This window comes from Homo sapiens, chromosome 10, assembly GCF_000001405.40.
Source record: "Homo sapiens chromosome 10, GRCh38.p14 Primary Assembly".
Classification (NCBI taxonomy): Eukaryota; Metazoa; Chordata; class Mammalia; order Primates; family Hominidae; genus Homo; species Homo sapiens.
The window spans coordinates 85,847,378-85,868,995 of NC_000010.11; the positions used below are offsets into that span (position 1 = coordinate 85,847,378).

A 21,618-nucleotide genomic window follows, 5' to 3' on the forward strand; every position below is an offset into this window, starting at 1 on the left:
CAGTCCTCTTTAATGTGAAATAGTAAGTCTTCCTTATTGTTTAATCCACTTAAGGTGGACATTCTGTTATCTGAAGCCACCACATTCTGAAAATGTACAAATGTGAATTAAATTAAAGCTCAGAGAAAAAAGAAAAATGATTAATAATTTCTAAAAATCAATGAGGAGATATGCAAATTTATATAGCTTATAATAAAATGTGATATTCAAGTCAATAGGGAAATGAAGGTCTGCTGTATAAATGGTAGTAGAAAGCATTTAGTGGAAAAATGTAAAAGCTAGGCCATCATGTCACAATTTATCCCAAATCCATCCCAGTTAGATGGTAGATTTTGTTGAAAAAAAAAAATCAAGCCACAAAAATAACTGGAAGAAAGTATGAGTAAACAGTATCTACTTTGTGAATTGGGTATAAGTTCCTAAAAAACACAAATATAAGAAAATGCAAATGAATAATCTAATTATTTGACCACATATATTTTTTAATGTCTGTATGTGAAAATATTTTTAAATTCAAAGGCAAACTATTTATTGGAACAAAATATTGAACACAAATAACTATCAATTCCTTTCTGAAAGAGAGGTTATATAAGTTTACAATGTGCAAAGAACCTGAGGTATAATTTACAAAAATGTGAAATACAAATGACCAATAATTATACTTTAAAATGTACAATCTCACAAGAAATGCAAATTTAGTATATCACTTTTTCATCTTGCTGCCAAACTAGCAAAAATGTTTAATATATATCAACCATATTTTTTAGCATGTGATATAACATAGACTTTATATACTACTCATGGATGTGAAAGTTATTAGGCCTTTCTATAATCAATTTGAAAATATGTATCATGTACATCAGGAGCCTAAAAGAATTATTATTCTTGTTCTGGTAATTCTACTTCTTAAAAAATATAGTATGGAAATAAATATAGATATAATTAAAATTGTATGTATTTTAGATGTTTATGACAGCACTATTCTATAATAATGTGGTGAAAATACCTAAATATTCATCAGATAGGAAGATGAAATAAATGATGGCTGCCTGTAAGTTGAGTAATGTATTTCCACTGAAAAAATCATAGTTGTAAAGCATAGTTAAAGAAATGAGGAGATATTCCCAATATAACATTTAGTAGGAAGGTCAGGATATAAAATGTATTACAATAAAGAGCAATTTGATAAATATACATATCATGATCTCTATGTATGAAGGGAGAAGAAACAACAAGAAAATACAACAGAAACATTAACAGTATTTAATTCTTGGTTTAAAGATTGTAGCTGACTTTTACGTTCTTCTTTTCATTTATCTGTGTTTCCTGAACATTCTACCCTTAATGGGTATGTATTGATAAAAACACTACCTAAAATGAAATACTTGATTGCATCTTTTCCTTATTCCTTTACTGGGATGAAGCAGCAGTGTTTGTTTCAGTTCTCGGCTCTGTCAAAAATAGTTCTGCACAAGGGTTCAGAACGGTTGACATTTTACTTTGAAAATACACTGGAAGAATGTTAATCCATGAAGAGACTCAAGTTTATTTCTCTTCTGCGACTCACTGTGCACAGCTGGAAGTCTCTATGGGAGCAGCTTAATAGAGACACTGCACAGTCCTCAGACTAGATCCTCCCAGCCCCACCTCCACCCATATCCCCCTCCTCACTGCTGTGCCCACTTCCCAGGCTCCTAGCACCAACTGCTGGAGCCACCAGGTAAAGGTAGCTTCTACTTCATTACGAGTTAGCCTTTTCAACCTGGCTTCACCTCTTACAACTTCTGAACCCGAGAATTTGGGGCAATTTGTAACACTGCATAGCAGATCTGCACGAGGATGTTAATGATGCACTTTCAAGCTCAGGGAGGACTGGGGTCCTATGGCGTGGCAATCCCTGCACAAAGAGCAGTTATTACTCAGTGAATTATCAGCAGACACAAGGCTCTCCCAGGGATGCAACATCAAGGGGGGCATTTGATTCCCATCCAAAGCCAGCTTTTATGAAGAATCAAAATTGACAGAGAAGTTAGAAGAAGCGTCTTAAACTAGTAAAGGAGAATGAGGCCCTTCCATTTCCCTGGGAAATCGCTGGAACAGGGAGGCTGAGCCAAGGGCAGTGGTGGAAATTTCAATTCAGCAGGCTCCCAGCCAACAGGAAGGGACTGTGATGCCCTAATGCTGGCTGGGGAAGGTTGGAGCAGAAAGTGAGCTGAAGAGGAGACAGGGAGTCACAGAACTGCATCGCCTCAAGTTCAGAAATGATGTTCTGGGTCCTCTGCCAAGCCCCCTCACTCCCAGGAAATCTGCCTTCCAAGCCCAGCACAGCATCATGCTTGCTGGTGCTATGCATCTCCCCAGTCTCTGGGCCTCTGTTTCCTAAACTTAGCTGTGCAGACCCCAATTCCCCACCTATTGCAACCAGCACATGTGCTTCTATGACTGTTTAATACATTTGGGTCCCAGCAAGATCCTGCTTGACCAGACTTTGTAGGGCCAGAGTAAAGCTTGACCCCCTGGACAAAATACTCCTTCAGCCTCTCTTGGTCCTAACTTGATTCTAGAAAGGAGAAGAAAACAGCTGTGTTGTCTCACACCACATCAGGGTCTCCCTCATCCAGGATGCAAGGCATAAAACAAAGCCACAGGCTGCCCAGATGCTCCTGTCTACCTCCCCCACCCTCCTGCCCAAGGACAGCTGCTGCCCTCCACTGAGCCACTGAATCGGGTGGATGCCACCCACGGAAAATGAGGTTCAAAGGGCCTGCGAGCAGTTGGCAATTCTCCCAGGGTTTTCCTGCACAAGGGACCCGGAGATAGTGGAAGAGAATGAGTTGCCTACACCAGTGCCATTAGGATGGAGAAAGGCGAACAGCTTCAGCAATCAGGTCATGGAGAAATGTTTCCTCTGGGCTATAACTAGTGCTCCTATCCAGGCAAGTCATGCTTGTGGAGGAAAAAAAAGACAACCATGTTTTTCTTCTTGCAATGATTACACCAACACCAAAACAGCCCTGAAAATAAAATCTTATCAGAGGTGAAGTTCCACAGATCCCTCTCAGCCCTTGGTCTTTATATGGAGTGGACATCTGCTGCCAGGCATAGAAGGGGAGTTTGGCACTGCCCTGGCACACAGGGCTGAGTGATCCCAGCTGCACCAGCTCAAGGCTGCAAGAGGGAGCCTCCCATCTCTGGCCTTGGCTTTGGAGCTATAGTCTAGGGCACTGTCAGGCTGGAGGCTGTGTTTTAGGCCTTCCTGTGCCTCTCTGCTCTTGTGGAGTCTGAGATAGATACGCTCAGAGAAAACACACAGTCCCATTTGCCCAAAGCTGATGCCCTGTGCCATATGAGCATGCTCTCACTGCCAAGTGCTGCACAGTGTCATTACACTGACTGACCCCTCCATCCAACAATTAGGCTCATATTACCTGTAACTTTCCTCTGAAGAAACAAAGGTTCAGAAAAGGGAAGTTGTGCAAAAACTCAGGAGAGGCAGAGCCAGGAGCAAAGCAAAGGCCCAGGTCAATGAGACAACATACGTACAATGCACTTTTGGATACTGTGGATGCTTAACAGTTCCTGCCCGCTCCCTACACCCAGCAGCTTCCCACACACACCACCTTTGGAAACTTAACTACAGGTGGCCCTGACAGATCTGTCAGAGCTCAATCATGAGCTAAGGACATTTACATGGACACGTTCATGGAATCCTCTTTTGGAGATTCCTGTCTGAACAAAGAGAAACAAAGCCAAGTAGAAATTTGTGGAGGTCCTGTTACAGTTCTGAGCCCTGAAAAAAACATGACACCAACAGGATAAAAGAAGCATATACCACCCCCCACCCCCAAGACAAATGTCAGGCCAATGCCTGTGAGAGCTGGAAGAGTTTCCAGCAAACCTTTCCCCTGGTGGCAGACCCATGCCAGACAGCTCCAAGTACAAAACAGACAATTAATATTTTGCTTGTAGTTACACAGCAAGCTGATGATATAGACCTTTGATTTTTCCATACAAAGCTCACTCACTAAAAACGCACTTCCTGGATGAGATAATTGAATTAGTATTTGTCCAGCACCCTGCAGTTGAAAGGCGATCACCCACTCCTTCCCTCCAATGAAGGGGCTGAGTAATCTACAGTCTCTTGATGCCACTTAATCTAAAATGTCTGGGTGACTCACCATCCCTGAGATTTCCCTCCAGGGTATTTAAGAAAATATCTTGCTACTTAATTTAAATGATTCCTCTTGGTTTAAGTCTGAAAGAAACTGTTTTGTCTGTGTCTGGTTTTGTTCATATATGACATATATAATCTTTGCAGGGAATGCTGCCCCTGCCCAGCATCACAGGATCTAGGAGTCTGCCCAGTCGGCTCCTCTAGCAGCTGTGTACCTTGCATGGCCAAGAGAGCTGCGACTCCTTGGACTCTGACCTTGGGCACTCCTTAGATGACTGATCTTGGCACTGTTTTGGTGTGGCTCAGGACCCTACCCTCAAATTTGCCACCCATCCTCAATTTTTTTCTCCCTTATGTGAATGTCCTTTATTTTTAAGTTACCCCGATTTCCCAGCCCCACCCTTCACAGCCCCGTCTCCCACCCGAAACTACCACTCAGCTCTGCCTCCAAATGCTGCCCTACCCCCATGATACGGTCCTAATCCCTTCTCCTTGGTTCATCTGAAACTCCCTGGACTTGCTTTAATGCACCCTAGGCCTGAATCACAAACATTTGCTACAGTAAATCCCACTCCCTGCTTTCCAGATAACTTCCCCTTAGCAGCGATAAGCTGCTAGGCAGACAGATAACAACCAGGATATGCAGTTATTAAGGGCAGATTTTAAAATGACAAAAAGATACATTTTAAAATAAAGCCGACTTGAAAATCAGCTTCCCTTCCAACTCAATTACATTCAGGCCTCCTGCTCAAAGCTTCTTATATTGAGAGATGCCAGCTCCCACTGGCTTCAGGGTTTTTGAGGCGCATTGCCTTGGCAACGTGGAAGGTCCAGACACCTGAAACAGGAAGTGGAGGACATAGTGCCTCCCCCTCTCTCAGGCACCTGAGGTGGCCAGCCTGGCGCCAGGCACAGGACTGGAGGGTCAGCTGCTTGAGACAAGGCAGGGACCTCCACAGCCAGCATTCCCACCAAAAGAAGTAGGTGGGAGACGGAAGGAGCTGGCAGGCAGGACCTAACTTCAAAATAAGACTTGGGGATGAAGGCAAGTGCGCCAGGACCGTGGTCGATGTGAACAGTTATTTTGGCAGCCAGCTACACTTGGCAAGCTTTTTCACACCAGAGTGATTGAAAGAGCCCTCCTTACCTGGTGGGAGTCCCAATGCAAGCCCATATCTCTTGTGGTCATGACCCAGACCAATGCTGACCACTCATGCCCATCCCCTCACCAAGTCTCACAGCTTTGGGCATTCCTAACAGACATCATAGGCCAGCCCTGGCTTCCTGGACATTGCAGGTCACACCCTGGCCCTACATGGGAAGTCACAGAATAGTTGCTAGCCGACTCCCTCTAGGATGCCACCAACAAACCTCTGAGCTCCAAAATGCCATCAAGCCATGTATGTCAGATATTGTGTCACAACAAATTATTGAAACTTCAATTATTTATATGACCAATCCATGACTCTCTCCTCCATCAGAGTGGGCTAAAAATCCCCCGCACCATCCCCCACATCACACATGGACCCAGGCCATCCCAGTCTCTCCCTGGGGAGCTTGTCTTCTGCCCCATCTGTCACTGATGAGCTCTACACGGCTCCCTCCCTGTTCCCCAGCTCTCACACCCTCCACCAGTCCACACATGCATCTTTCTACCCTGGCCCTCAGGAGCAAAACCAAAGAATTCCCCCACCCAGATTCTCAGTACCCCAACATCATTTAGCCCTTGCCTCTCCCTCCACTGCTTCTAGCCAATGGTGACATCAGGCTAGAGGGCTCTTTGCTGAGGGCTTATCCAGCCCCTGCTGAGAGCTTATTACTTGCGAGGACTGTCCTTCATGCTCCAGGCACCATCATTAGTAGAGACATCTTCCTTCGAAGTGTGTGAAGTGTGTACGTGTGTGTGTGTGAGCATGTCTGTGAATACATGAGGCTGTGCCTGAGTACATGCCAATCAGTCAATGCTTTCATTATTTCCGGAGAAGACCAAGCCACTGTGGCCCATCTACACCATGAGTAGTCCCATCTCTGGCCTCTCCTGTACAGGCTATTTCTGGAAGTGCATCCAAGCCAGTAGAGTTGGGCTGGCCCAGGACAGCCAGCCACTGACCACACCAGGATACCCACCATCAGCTCCACATTGGCTCACAGTGACCACATCCAAGGTCCTTCACTTGGATAATTGTTCTAAGCCCTTACTTGCCATGTCGGCCTCTTTGTCCTAGCCCTGTTAGACTCTTTGTGTCATGAGTCCACTTAACTTTGGGGATCCCCACCCTGGATAAAAGGCCACTCTCCACTATCCACAGTCCTGAAAACTGTTCTCTATCACCCATAAGAGGTGGAAGAAGAGGAAAAGTATCACTGGGAAGACCCAGGCTGCCACCTGCACCAGCACCAGCACCAAATAAAAAAGCCAAACCTCAGTCTGAGTTGTTCAACTCCTCTGTCTCTCATTTATCTTTCCGCTGGCCTCTGGCATTTTCCAATTTCCACCCTCCTTGCAGCTCCATTTTCTGTTTGTGGCCTTGTCTCACTCCTGGATCTGGAGGACACTCAGGCTGTAACCTCTGCCTCCTGCCTCAACCACAATTCACACTTGTCCCTGTGGTCGGGCTGATTTCACTGCTCTGAGAAAACACATTGTCCTTTATAGCCTCCATGCAGCCCCCTGATCCAAGCAGTAGGACCCAGTTGTTACCAGGTACCCCTGCTCTACTCAAAGAGACTCCATTAGAGGCAATTTCTGTTTGGAAACCTCTCTGCACCTACTCCCTAGCATGCCCTATAAACACCAGCCAATGGTAGCATCAGCAGAGAGAGACTAGGAGGGAGGATATCTGTGCTAGTTAACAGTTGCTGGGAGCTCAGGGACCCTGTAGCTGTTGCTGTCTTTGGTGGCACCATAGCAGGAAGATTGGAAGACAGGGAGCCTGAGGCTTACCTTGCGCATGTCTTTGCCAAAAGTCTCACTATAGGTAGTGCCAAGGATTTCAAACTGGACATAGGGATTCGAACTGTCCTCCCGAAACTCCATCACCCCAGTGAGGCCAGTGATGTGGCCCTGCAGAAGAGGAGAAAAACCCATTGGAAAATCTGGTTAAGGTAGAGGATGGAGTCCCAAAGGCTAAGAGGAGCAAGGAAGTGGTCACCAAGAACGGAGCAATCAGTTTTGAGACCATGGACAGGCTGTAATGAGGACAAGATGGGCTAGTGGTCCTAGGCCCTCAGAGCAGGATCAGTACTTTCTAGGATATTTGCTTATGGGAGAAATCCCTAAGGCTTGCACCTGTCATTCATACCATCTATATGCTTAGAGTCCCTGCTATGTGCCAGGCACCATGCTAGCCATGAGATTAAACATTGGTAGCTTTTGTTCCTGCCCTCTTGAAGCTTAGTCCTCCCCTTGCAATCAGTTCCAGGGGCTCACCTTAGCCTAACCCAAGAGAAAATTCAAAGGTCAACAGGAGACATATCAGACACATGATGGTAAGTTGCAGGGCAGCAAACATGTGCATTGGAGGGCACAGCAAGATCCCTAGCTTGGATCCTGGCTTTGCCACCTGTGCCACCTTGGGCACATTGCCCATCTCCCAGCTTTGGCCTGAAGTTAATTAACTCCACATCATAGAACCCACAAAGACTAAAGGAGAAAATATGTACAAAGCACAGCATCCAGCATAGACTGGCTGTGGTCTCCATGCCTCTCTCTACTGGCTCAGTGGGCTTCATAGGAGAAGGAGGCAGCAGGAGGCTGAGGGAGCCGTGGTGAGCCCCTTTCTCTCTCCAAGCCCAGGGTGAGATTCTCATCAAGATTTATCTCTCATAGTCCCTGTGACCCTACAGAGTCCCAGAAACACCTGGCCCAGAAGGGGCCCTGGCTCTGCCCTGGGCTGTAGTAGATTCTCACCTACACTAAAGCATGTTCCCTGCTACTGAAACCACATGCAATTCATTGTGACTAAATTCCTAACGCTATGGATTTCCCTAAATGCTCTTTTGAAGCCTCTAAAAGTGAATTCACTCTAACAAATCATCCATAGATTACTCAATTCACTTCAAATCCAGCTTTCTAATTCAGTATCCCTCCTCAGCACATGAGATACATCACAAGCGCACATACAGGTGCACTCGTTTCTTGGGGAGTGGTGTTCTGCATAGAGGGGTACCTTGCAGACACGGGATAGGCAGCTGCCTCCATTTCATACCTACTTGCAGCCAAGGGCAAGTTGCTTAACCTCTCAGAAGTTCTTATATTAAATTGAAGACAGTAATGATAGTATGTATTCATGGACCACAGCTCACCTGGCCTGCAGATGCTGGGACAGGAAGAGTGACAAGGAGAGAGGAATGGGGAGGGGCCTACTGGGGCAGCCACACAGAGCCTAGCTTCAGGCCAGCTACTAGAGGGGAACACAGTGGAGGTATAAGAAGGGGCCTGTCTTTGGCCAGGTTGGGGGTGCCCCCTCACACGTACCTTTTTGATGGTATCCAGCATGGACCTCCCACCATTCCATGGCTTAGTGGATTTCCGTATGCAGTTGAGGCTCGCCATGCTATGCCACTTCCGGTCCTCCAGCTTCCTGTGAAAGGCGTTGGCCAGCATCAGAACACTGTCATACAGATAGAGGTTGGAGATCTGCAAAGACAGAGGCAGTGAAACCCTTTCCACAGGTGCATTTCTAGAGAGCTTTGGAGAAACCCACAGAAAGGAGGAGGAATGCAGGATGCCAACATTAAGCTGTGGTGCCCAGTATCTATGCCAAGATCCTCGGCTTTTAGGTGTACTTTCAAAAACCCAGCCAGCTTCTAGAGTCCTGAATGGAATAAGACCTTGCCCTGCCTCAGGAACTAGAGTGGGATGTGCATGTGTACATCAACAAGGAGAACCCTTATCTGTAGCTGATTGAGATGTGCACACAGGTAAGTTACCTACTCAGGTAAGGGAGGATGGAGGGAAGGATAAGCAGAAAGCTCAGCGTTGAAGGATTAGTAGGATAAAGGGAGGGCACAGCATTTGCAAGGGCATGAAGGTGTCAAGAGACAGGGCCAGGTACAGCACAGTCCACCAGAGTTTTTTGTAAAGGACCAGCTCATAAAGATTTTGGGCTTAGTAGTCTCTTTTGCAACTGCTCAACCCTACTGTTATAACTTGAAAGCAGCCATAGACAATATATAAACATATGGGTGCTGCCATGTGCAATAAAACATTATTTTCCAAAAGAGGCAATATACTGGATTTGCTCTATTGGCCACCGCTGGCGGATCCTTGGGTTAAAGGAACTGAAAGCAGTTCAAGACGACTGTGTCAATGGGTACAATACAGAGGGAGCAGGATCAAGAGAGAAGCAGGGATTGAGCCCTGCAAAGACTTAGGGACTTACTAAGGAGGACTAGCAACAGAGGTGACTGTAGGGAGAAGGACGCCTTTGTTGGGTCAGTGTACAGGAAGCTGGAGATCAGATCTGGGCCTCAGAAAGACCACTCTGGTCGCCGGACACGCCTAGGGTGAATGGTGGCCTGAGTGACGAGGTAACAGTGAGGACGGTGGTAACAAGAGATGAGGATTCTGGTGCCTGCTCTGCAGTGGAGTCACTGCCACCCAGGGAACACATTTGGGATTTGCAACTGTGCCCATCTGAGGACCACCCTTCTGCTTAGTTGTCTGATGTGAGCTCAGTGGTAGAGGAGACACATCCCTGTCTCAGTGCTCTGGAGGGCAAGGCCATGACTGAGAATCTAGGGTAGAAGTGTGAAGAACGACACTACAGCATTGGGGCCCAACCCATGTGTGGGGTCCAGGGTGGGCAGGCCAGGCTCAGCCTCCTGAGTGTGGCTATAGACCCCGATCTGGATGTGGAGGAGCTAGAAAATGGCACCCACCCTCCCAGGGGCCCAGCGGGAGCCCAATGGGGGAGAAGGACAGCTCTGTTCTCGGATGTCACCTTCACACCACCCCAGCCCTCCATGGGGACATTGGAGCACAAAGGAGAAGAGGAGGAGAAGGGAAGGCGGTGAGGGCGAGGTAGCGTCCACCCTCAGTCAGGTTTGTGGCCCCCCACTGATAACTGTTGCACAAACAACCCTCAGCCAAAGTGGGTCAAGGGGACCATTCTCTGAACGCCTAAGCAGCAAGTCGTCTGCTAAAAATATTTTAGAAAAACAAAATCACCAGATAAAAATAGGAGATCATGTCAGCCTCACAGGACTCCTGGGAAGATCAAATAGGCTCCTTGGGCTGCAAAAAGAACCCCTCCTCCCCCAGCCTCACCCCTACTCTCCTCAATATGTCCCTGTACCACAACACCTCTGTGCCTTGTTCTCTGCCTGCAATTTACTTCCTCATGTTTCTTAGTCCAGGTGCTCCAAAAGCAGAACCTTAGATCAGAAGTTAGGTGGCGCGAACTCTCCAGCAACTGAAGCTGAAGTCTGAGATGAGCCAATAGGAGGTGCAAGGCATCACAAACATCTGCCCCGTCATGCCTGTCCAGCCCTCAAGGGCCATTCCCAGCATGTCACATCCAGGCAGAGCTGACTGCCTCCCCTGTAGGTATCCTTGTGCACAGACCATTGCTGAAGAGCTCTGTCCTGTCTGCCACTGTCCTGTCCCCCAGCTCTGACCATTGTGGGCTGTATGCCTAGGGCCTCTGCATTCTGTAGGTGTAACAGGTAGGTGGAGGATGGCCAGATGTTGCAGAGGTGTCAAGAGTGTGCTAAAGCAAGAGCCTTGAGCTGAGGGGGAGTAGAAGGTCAGTGCCTGGTCTGACCTTCTTCAGGGGCCTGCAGCACACAAGAGCTTACTTGACAGCAGAGGGAAAACTAAGTACCACCACCCACTGGGAGCTCACCCCCTCACTGCACAGGGAACACCATGACAGAACTGTGCCCTCAGCCACTTGAGGCCTAGAGGAGCATTTCCTCAATGAGCAGGACTAATTCACTCTTTGTTGCTGTCAACTCCCCAGCCCTCAGGAGCCCCCACCACTGCATGTGTTGATAAGTCTTCCTCCCCTCTGGAAAACAAACCCATGATGGAGATGTTGTTATAAGGAATACAAGCCATTTAGAATTGGTTTGTTGTTTTTTTCTTTCTTTTCCCAAGAGAATAACTTGAAGCTGAGAATCCTTAACGATGGGAAGATTTCTCTTCTCAAGACATTCATGGGTCTACCAGCCACCAACTGATAGCTGATGCTATTTAACCAGCCAGGTCTCTTTGACCCCTACTCCCACCCATCCACACACTCACACATCAGGGCAGAGTCCACAGCACCAGCGCATCTGTGGCTCTGACCAGAACCCAGTGGAATCTCCCTTTCACTTCAGCACTTCTATTCACAATCAATTAAGGTACTCAACAAATGTATGAATGCAGAGAGGTCTTGAACAAAGAGGAAAAAGCAGGACATGACTCAGAAAGGCCAAAGGAAGCCCTCAGTCTTCCCACAAGTATGTCTGCTTGGAAGGGTGAATACATCCCAGTTCATGGGAACAGGCTTGAGCAATGCTCTTTTCCAGGCATAGATAGGCAGGCCTTCCCAATGCCCACATATCACCCTAGATGTACCCCTCTTCCATTATATATGTTGCCAGCTCATGAATGTGTTTATCTCAGCAAACTTTGAGCTCTTTAAGTACTATCTCTAGAACTCAGCACCAATCAAAGCACATAGCTGGTGCTTAATGTATGTTTCATGGCCGAACACATGGTAGACACATGTATGCACAAATGGAAGGATAGATGAGTGTGTAGATGTATAGGTAAATGGATGGATGGATGAAGTAATGGATGGAGGGATGGATGGATGGATGGATGGGTGGATGGAGTGATGAAGTGATGGATGGATGGATGGATGGATGGACGGATGGATGGATGGATGGATGCATGGAGTGATTGATGGATGGATGGATTTTCTCAGAAGGCATACACTAACCATGTTTTACAAAAAAGAGAAATTATAGAAAATGGATAGCAGATAAAAGAGATTTTATCCCTCCAACTTTGACTTTGGACAGAGCCTCCTTTGTTCAAACAGCAATTTGTTCTTGTCTAAAACCTCCTCAAAACATCTTCTTGATCTTCCCATGGAGCTGTTTCCATCTACTCCACTTACTCCTAACTCTTCCCTGGTAAGATATTGTCTCTCCCTGCCTTGGGCATAATCTAACACTGCAGTAATAATCTGTGGCTCCCCCATCTTCTCTCCAACCTCAGCATCCTCACTGAGACGACCTACTTTGTGCAAACTGACTTTAGCTGACAGTTCACTGGTGGGGATGCGGAGGGTAGGAAAGGCCCTAACCTCACAACCTATTCAGAGAAGGGATTCTTGGATGAAAAAAATCACAAGTAGATGGTAGAAAGGCAGTTTATGCTTGGGGCCCTCTCCAGAGCCTGATAAACATAAAAGAAGCCTTTCCTCAGGGAAGATGGCTGGATATCAGTGTCAGGGTTGGTCATGCCAAGCCCCTGAGAAGGAAGTCTGGAAGGAGAGAGGCTCCCAGATGCATGGATGCTCACTCGTCATTGACCACCAGGGGCCAACAGCCCAGGCTGGAGTCACAGGCCACAGGTGCAGAGAATGAGGCCCGGCTTGGAGAAGTCCTTGCCTCCCTCCCTCATATTGTAGGTTATGCACAGTACAGAGTCCATTAGCAAAGGTAAGGCAAGCAAGCAGATGCTGTCACTATTTAAACACTCATCCCCATGCAAGCAGGAGCCCAGGGCTCTGGGTGACCTAGGAACACTGCAGCATAAAATTCCAGGAACCAAAAAAGCATTCCAGGTAAGAGTAAATTTGAGAAGCAAAAGAGAGGTCAGAGTGTCAAGGCCATGGGCATGGCAGAGGAGAGACCTGGCTGCAAAGCAAAATACCTGGAGCCAGGTCAGAGATGCTAGAGGGAGTGAAGTCAAGGCCAGACAGAAGCCAGGAAAAGGGCTTGAGGCCTTCCTGGCAGCTCATGGGCTCTATTGTAAGTGAGGAGAGAGCTGGAAGAGGGACTGGATGGTTTCATTTAGCCACTCCAGAGATTTTCGGCAAGTTTCTCTCACTAATTACCATACAGTACGACTCTCACACTAGGGTTGCAGCTTAGGCAAGTGGTCTAATAGGAACAGCAACAGCTTTGGATTCATTCCAGCCTGGACCAGCTTTGCTCACTGCTGGACCCCAGGTCTCCACAGTAGTGCGTGGATACAGCAAGCACTCAATAAATGTTGATGGAACGAGTGAAGTAGATCTCCACTAGCATCCATTTGCTGAGTGATGTTGAACAAGCTGTTGAACACTCTGAGACTTATCTTGATAACAATAAAATACAGTGTGATCTGGGCCCCTGGAGAGGTACAATGTGGCAGCCCTGATTTACCCACCTGTGGAATGCAGATGGTAATACCCCTGTGTGCCAAGTACTATTCTAAGATCTTTGCATGCATCTTCATCTTTAGAGGGAGCAGAGACAGAAATGAATAGAAGAGGCAAATAAAATATCTATGCAGCTTCCAGATTTCAATATGTATGAGCTGAGAGCTCCTCCAGGGATGTCCCCAGAAGCTGGGGTCAGCACCAGTCTGGATGCAGAACATGAGGACTACTGTGAAAATGCATTTGTATCCTCCAACACCACTCGTTCTCTCCCACAAAGCCCCTTGGGTCCCTAAAGCCTTCCAAAGGCACAAAGGGATCATGTCTGACTCCTATAGCTTGAGGGTCAGAGATCAAGCAAGAATCAGCACTGAATATTAATTCCCAGTCCCACCTGAAATCTGCTCACCTGAGCACCCGTGTACATGTCCCTGGCCTCCTCCAGGCCCCAGCAGCACAGCCACAGCTGCCACAGCCCCCAGGGTCTGAGCCACACCTTTCAGGGCTACATGATCTGAGGTGTTGCAGGGCTGCCCTTTAAGGGAAAGGCCACTTCTCTGCCCCTAGGATGTTTCATAAAAGGTACAAACACAGGAAGGCTCAGAGAGTGTGTGTTGTGTGGTGGAGGGTGGAGGGGGAAGCTTTATAATACCCTGACTCTGGTTCCTGAGAGGGAGACAGTGTGGCCTGCTGCAGTCAAAGGCCAGACATTCACATAGCAAGGCTGGCTCAGCCACGGGAGCCTTTGGCACAGTGGATTCTGCAATGAGATCAGCGAGGTGTGCAGGGGAGGTGGGGAAGGCAGGCAGGGTATGGCTGGAACAAAGGCCAGCTGCAGTCCAGCATCCATGGAAGGCATGTGCTCTGCACTCCACCCTCTGACCAGCTCAGGGGTTTCAGTCCTGGAGAAGCTTCCAGATGAGGACTCAATTGAGTGAGGACTCAATGGTCACCTCCCATTTTGGGGGTGGAGTTCAGGTGCCCTTATTTTTACCTAGGGAGATGGTAACCACTGGTTAACCTGTCTCCAGCCTCAGATCCTCCCTTTCCACACTGCACAGAGTTGCCTTTCTCAGATACACGTCTTCCACATCACATCACCAAGGGCAGAGCCCCAGTTGCTGTTGTCCCCTCCAAGTTACTTCCCAACTTCTTGCCTCTCACCCCTTGCCCCAGGCACAGTGAACTCTTCCCCTGCTCTCTCAGGCCTCTGAGCCTGTGCACATGCCAGTTTCCCTAATCAGGACCTGCTACAACATGGAAATTAAAATTCCTAATTTTGAGAGGTTTATAAGAATTAGGAAGGAACATTTATGAAAGGTCTAACATAAGAAGAAATGCATAACAAATGCATAAATGGGTATTTATGCAATTACTGAAAGTTGAATAACAGTTTTAAACATGTTCTTAGAAACATAAAGTTAAAGAGATGTCAAGGCATTTGCAAAAAAGATGCCTCTTCTTAGAAGACAAGTGGTGGTGGATAGAGGCTGCTGGGGAAAGAGATGGGAGCTCTGTGTGAATAAATGTAGAATTGGCCATCTCCCACCAGAATCCCAGGCTATGCATTTCCCTGAGATAGCAGGATCCTGGCAAGGTATAAATTTCCAACATCAGTTGCCCATGCAGGAGGTGGGTCCTCAGAAAGATAATGGGAAAGGTAGGAGGCGTCTCTGGGAAGCAGGAGAGAACTCAGCCGTGAGCTCTTGTTGGGGGCTTGCAGCTCTTGAGAGACCCAGATGGACACTCTCGGCTGCTGGATAATTAGAGATGAGTCACAAGAAGTTGACTGAGGACCAGGGATGGAAAAATAGATTTTTTAAAAAGTTATTACCAGAATTTCTATTACATCAGTGACTATATTTTATTTAGGAAAATACCTTGTGGCAGCAGGAGCAAAGGCCACCAGTGAGACTTTAAATTGATCTTCATGAGAAAATAAGGAACCAAGACCCAGAGGGAGGAAATGGAGGGAGGGCAGGGAAGCAAGCAAGATGAGGAGATAATGGAGCACTGGGGGCAGGGAAGCAGTGCTCAGAAACACTGCACATTCCCCAGCGGGGAGGGGCTTCAAAGGCTGAATCCTGCTTGAGCAGCTACAATGCAAATGCCCCACCCAACTCCCCATCGCGTACAACACCGGCTCTGGGCTCTGAGGCTCCTGAGGAGACGCGAAGGCTGCCTTAGTCCACTCAGGTCACTGTAACAAAAAAACACAGACTGGGTGGCTTATAAGCAACAAAAATTTAACTTCTCACCGTTCTGAAGCCTGGCAAGTACAAGATCAAGGTGCCTACAGATTCTGTGTCTGGTGAGGACGTGCTTTTTGGCTCATAAGTGGTGCTTTCTCATCTTGCCCTGGCAGAGTGGAAGAGGAGAAGTCTGGTCTCTTCAGCTCCTTATATGGGCACGAATCCCATTTATGAGGGCTCCCCCCCTCATCACCTCCCAAAGGTCCCACCTCCTAATACTGTCACCTTGGGGATTAGGTTTCGACATGGAAATTTTGGAGGGATACAAACATCCAGACCATAGTGGATGTCTTGTGCAGAAGGGAATTTGTTGTCTTGTTGAAACCAGGAAGGCACTGACTTTCCACCTGGGCAAGCACTGGGCAGGGTAGAGGCAGGCACATTGGAAGCCCAGGTGTTCTGGTCAGTTATTGAGTCCCTGGGAGCAGGATCAGGACCAGAGATAATAAGCATATAAACCCCCCATGAAGTGTGTTGAGCTCCTCAGGAGTGCTGCAGGCTGCCAGGTCGATCCAGCTAAGACCTCTGCCCCTATCAGTGGGGGAGAGGCCCCTGGAGGACAGGAGGGTGTGCCTGCCGGGTGGCCAGGCTATCTGCCTTCCTGGCAGCAGCACATGCCTTCTCTGTAGTAAGTCTGAGACTTCAGTCACGTTTTATTAGGGTATTCCAGCCTAGTATTTGTTATGCTCTGGGGCCCAGGGAATTGTTGTGCATCCGCATTATCAAGGTAAAAATCATTCTTGGAGGAGAAGGAAGATGAATCACAGGCCAGGGTCAGAACCAGACCATTATCCTCCCAACACCAAAGCTGGAAGTGTGGAAAATGTTTTCATTAAGAAAGGCTGCATTTCCTCCAGGCTTCTGAAGAACCCAGCTTTCTCTTCCCTCTGTCATTAATCAAGCAAAGTGGACAGTTCAGTGAGACATCACAGAGGCAAACAGTAGGAACTGACCTCTGACCAAATCCTCAGACAGGTTGTGGTTGGCCGGCAAAGTTAGACAAGCAGCTGACAGAGGGATCAGCGGGGAGGACAAGTTGACACCCAGATGTCACAGCTTGAGAAATCCATGCCAGGTGTAGTCTCTGCCAAACTGCTGCCAGTCCAGCTGTCCTGGGAGAGGGCACCACAGCCAAGCCTCAGGAGGAAGCAGATGGTAAGAGAGGGCACAGTGGATGCAGGGAGCTCCACTCACTGCTGAATCTGAGGCGACGGTGTGAAAGTGAAGAGGGCTATCTGTCCACACCCAAGGCTTCCTGGGCTCCAAATGCACACATGGCTGCCTGCAGCCAGAATAGCAGCCAGTTGCAGCCAAGGAGAACACTTGCGCAATTGTCTCCGACAAAGCCTTCCCCACTCTCCATGTTAAATGCTCCCATATGGGTTTTTAGGGCTAAGTAAACCATTGAAAGTGACATGAAATCCAAGGTAGCTGGTATGGGGAGGCTCAGTGAAGCTCCAGAGGACAAGCTTCTACCAACAGGTTGACAAAAACCTTTTAGCCATGGAAGAGTACAGAAAACCCTAAAAAATAGGGATGTTAGAGGGAGAGGGGTTGAAATCCTCTAATAGAGTGTGTGCAGCACAGAGGAGGAATGATTCAATCAAGCCATTCGACAATTTTAAAATGCACAAAGAAGAGAAATTTCAACCTGAGGGAGCATTTTATGGTAATACCACATTAGCCCCCAAAGCTTAATTCAGGGATCCGGCTCCACAGTGACCACACAACACAGTTTACATCATTTGCCTGTCACCCCTTAGAAACACATTTGAATATAAATGGGGGGATGGCTATGTGACAATACGCCTCTTACTTCAATTGCAGCCCTGATGTCACAGGGCAGTACAGTTCCAGAGACAGAGTACGTTACAGATTCTCCTCTGAGCAAAGATGTCTGTGAAATCTTAGCAAAGTCTCAGGGTTCTGAGGGACTGGTTATCACTTTTATTACTGGCTGAGTCAGACAAGTCCTAAACTAACTTGTCAAGGAAACAAGAATCAAAAACACACAAATAAGACAGTGCTTTGTGGGGAAAAATAAACAACAGTGCTGCATGCTGGCAAATGCAAAGCTTTTGGAGCACTAGGGGTCACATATTTAGGTATTTTTCTTCCCAGGGACTTTCCTTCTGCTAAATAGGAACCAAACTGATTTGCTATAATAGTTCTTGGTTGGCTTTAGAGCACAGAAAGCCCTGACCACAAGCCTCATAGAGGATGACAGAGTTTCTGAGGCCAGCTCAATAGAGAAGCTAAGGGATGGATACTCTTGCAAAAATTCCCTGTTCTTCTTGGTCCTCCCAGAAACTTCTAAACCAGAATGATCTTCCCAAGAGCAGCCATTTGGTGGGGGGGAAGAAAGATGGACTGGAGAGCTCCATTTCCAAAAGGATCTTCACTAATTTCATCAAGACAAAGTTAATAATCCATGACATAATTTTTTTTTTCCTTGAGTTGTTCTAAACATGTTAGAGTCTTCTCGATAAATCTCACAGCTAGAGGCTAGTAGAAATTAGTTTGCCTTCCACACTGTCATTAAGAAAGAAAGAAGTGGTAATAGCTATGGAGGAAACTGGAAGGGAATGGCTTGTAAATGAGATGAATCTACCAGCTGCCCAAGTAGTTGTTGGGCAGGATGAATACATAAATCCACATTTTCCTCTCATGATACCGCCTTGCAAGGAAGCAGATGCAACAAATGGAGACAGAGATTCCTTTAATAAAGTGTTTTACATATATACATATATATATATATATATATATATATATATACACATATATATGGAGAGAGAGAGAGAGAGAGAGAGAGAGAGAGAGAGAGAGAGAGGCATCTAGGGTCAGTTTAACTTGTACTGAGACCTGCATTCTTAATAGATTCATCCTTTAATTCCTTATCAAGGGTCTTCAATGAGCAGGGTCTTGTGGCCTTGTATAAAGAACTACATGAGCCTAAAATACAAAGCCTCTCATCTCCCAAGCAAGGAAGCTATGATTGAGTACCCATGGGAGAGATGTGGACAGTAAGTGGTACACAAAGCCTGTGATAAGGGGCTGGAAAGATAGAAACTGCCCTCCCACCTGCAGTGATGCCTTTAAAAAGCATGCTTGGAGATAGGTAGACTAAATCACACCAAAAAAAAAAAAAAAAAAAAGGCTATGTTCACCCTTTCCATGGAAACCCTGAATGTACCTGTCCACCTCCACAGTAATGATGATAATAGGTTAAGTATCCCATATCTGAAATGCTTAGGACAAGAAGTGTTTTTATTTGGGATTTTTTTTTTTCAGATTTTGAAATATTTGCATTATATTCCAATTCCAGTTGAGCATCCTTAATCCAAAAATGCAAAATCTGAAATACCCCAATGGGCACTTTTTTTAGTGTCATTTTGGCACTCAAAAATTTCAGATTTCAGAGTACTTCAGATTTCGGATTTTCATATTAGAGATACTCAACTGTACTGCTAATAGCCAGCTCTGAACTGAATGCTTTCCGTATGTTCTCCGATTTAATTTTAATTATGACTCTGGGGGATAATATTCTAACCCCCAATTTAGAGAGGAGGGAACTGAGGCGCAGAATGATAAACAAATAATAATAATGAAATAATTGGCTAGTAACTAGAGTTATCAGGATTTGAACCCAGGTGACTTGATTCCTCTTTTACTGTTGCTGCTATTACTACAAGATTCCTGTAGTGTTGCACTTCAGCGTTGCTCTTTATGCAATGCCTGGGTCTCAGCAGGAACAGAGGGAGGCATAGTGTCCCAGGGTTCCTGGATCTGACACTGCATTTACCTCATTTGATGATGTCCGGCCACATATCTGGGAGCTGTGCCTTTGTTTCTCCTCTCCATGGGCACGTGTCATTTAAGTAGGCCCTCAGCTAGATTCCCCTTTGAACCCCTCAGTCTCTCTTTCTCTCTCCTCCAGTGAAAAGACTTTTTGCATCCAATGTGTCTGATATGCAACCAAAGGGCCCACCTGCGCCTTTCACCCACAGCAAAAGGGGGCATCACAGGCCTCAACAAGAAGCACTTTCTTCTTTCCCCTGCTCTAACCTTTGCAGACACTTCTGTGCCATGGAAAGTGGCCCCATCTTTGTTCTTCAAGGAGACTGAGTGCAGTTTAACTAAGACCTAGAGAATGATTTAGGGCATATGAGGCAAGGGTGCCATGTATTTGGGGAGGGAGGAAGCCCTTCAAAGGAGAGAGAAGCTAGAAAGACCCTGCAGGGAGTGAGACCCTCACAGGCTCTGGCCCCACAGAGAGCAAAGGGATTCCCCTCTCCCGCTGCACTGGGTGGGAATGGGCACACACTCCCTGAGCCCCATTGTTTAAGGCCATTTCCACCCACATGGAGGCTGGGAATCATGACTACAGAGGCACAGTGAGAGGAACTTACTTGGCCTTCGCCATTTCTTCCAGACTCCACATACAGGAAGGCAGAATAAACCAGCAGCATCTCAACGTAAACTCTTGCCTTTCACTCTGACTCGGGTGTCCAGGGCTCTTGAGTCCATGAGTGATGCGGGGGCCTTGGGTCCACTCTCTTGGCCACCCCTCCACCGCCTTAGAAAGACCCCAGACACTCTGGTGGGCTCCCTGGAGCACAGACACTAGTGGAATGGGGATTATTCCAGCTAAAATCAATGTCTGCTGTGTTTCCACCTCAACCAAGAAAACATTTCTCATGTTTACCATCCGTTGAGGCATGTTTCCTTTTTCTCTCCACATATGAGATTATAGAGTAGATTCATTCCTTTGGCAAATTTGACACATGTCCACACCCTACTCAAGATTCCACAAATTCCCTTCCACAAAATGTGCAGCCCCTGATACAGTGAGAGCAAAATGTTATGGGGTGGGGCTGATACTCAGGTGGCAGATACAGCCGTCTCTGTTCTGCAACCCCAATTTCTAACCCTCATGCCTGGCTGGGTAAAGATGGTGGAACTAGTTTCAAATGCTGAATGGCAAGCATATCACATGTACAAACTTCTGTGCAATTTCCACAAACCCAAGTGGAAGAAATTTCCTTCTGTCCTGGTGCTCTCACTAAGCATCAGTGAAAGTTTTCTGAGGCACCACATTCCTAACCTAGAAGTGGATTTGAGGCTGCCAGTGGGTACTCTCCACACTACTTCCCTGTTGCTCCCAAACACCCAGAGAGAAACCACCTCTTACACTAGGCACATAGCTCTCCATCGTATTCCAAGGCCCAAGACAAGCTAGTGCCGACTGCACATACTTAGGGTTGAAGGACTGACCAGAAACACTTGGTACCTCTGGGCCTTGGAAGGAACCATGCGGGTGGGGTTCCATGTTATGGTCCTGCTGTCCTGCCCCTCCCTGCTCAGCTGAGCATCCAACAGTGTCCTGGGTGACCCAAGCCTCAGCACTCAGCCAATGTGCTGGGATAGTCCCATCTTGCTTTGCAAGGGTCGTGTCTATATTAACAAGAACCTAAAACAGGTTCAAAATGATCACTTCCCAAAGAAGACTCCACCCCCAGCCCTGCCAGATGAACACATTCCCACAAAGAAGTCATCACAGAGACATAAGAGACAGGAATCTCTTTACCCTCTATGCATGTGACTTTTAAATACCAGAGACACCCGGTGAGCCAATAAGCCCTGTCTGCTGACAACAGGCATAATTGCCTGCTCGTGCTGTTCAGAGACACTGCCCAGTCAACCGGTTTCAATTTCAACAAATGACAGAGCTCTAGTAATTGAAGTTGGTGGCAATAGGAGGCCCCCACATGTCTCCCTTGGCCAAGGGTGTGGGTGAGACTCTTGGTGGAGGGGACTGGAGAGAAGA

The 21,618-nt window shown here is 47.1% G+C and overlaps 1 protein-coding gene across 1 annotated transcript in view; it reads right to left on the reverse strand.

The window, feature by feature from the left end:
• The window catches only part of GRID1 (glutamate ionotropic receptor delta type subunit 1), a 767,244-nt gene that overhangs the window by 247,826 nt on the left and 497,800 nt on the right, over positions 1-21,618 (reverse strand). The window contains exons 7-8 of the mRNA NM_017551.3: positions 8,652-8,813; positions 7,119-7,238 (exon numbers count right to left, since the gene is read on the reverse strand). Coding sequence (NP_060021.1) covers positions 7,119-7,238; positions 8,652-8,813 — 282 coding nt within the window. The remainder of the gene's footprint in view (positions 1-7,118; positions 7,239-8,651; positions 8,814-21,618) is intronic.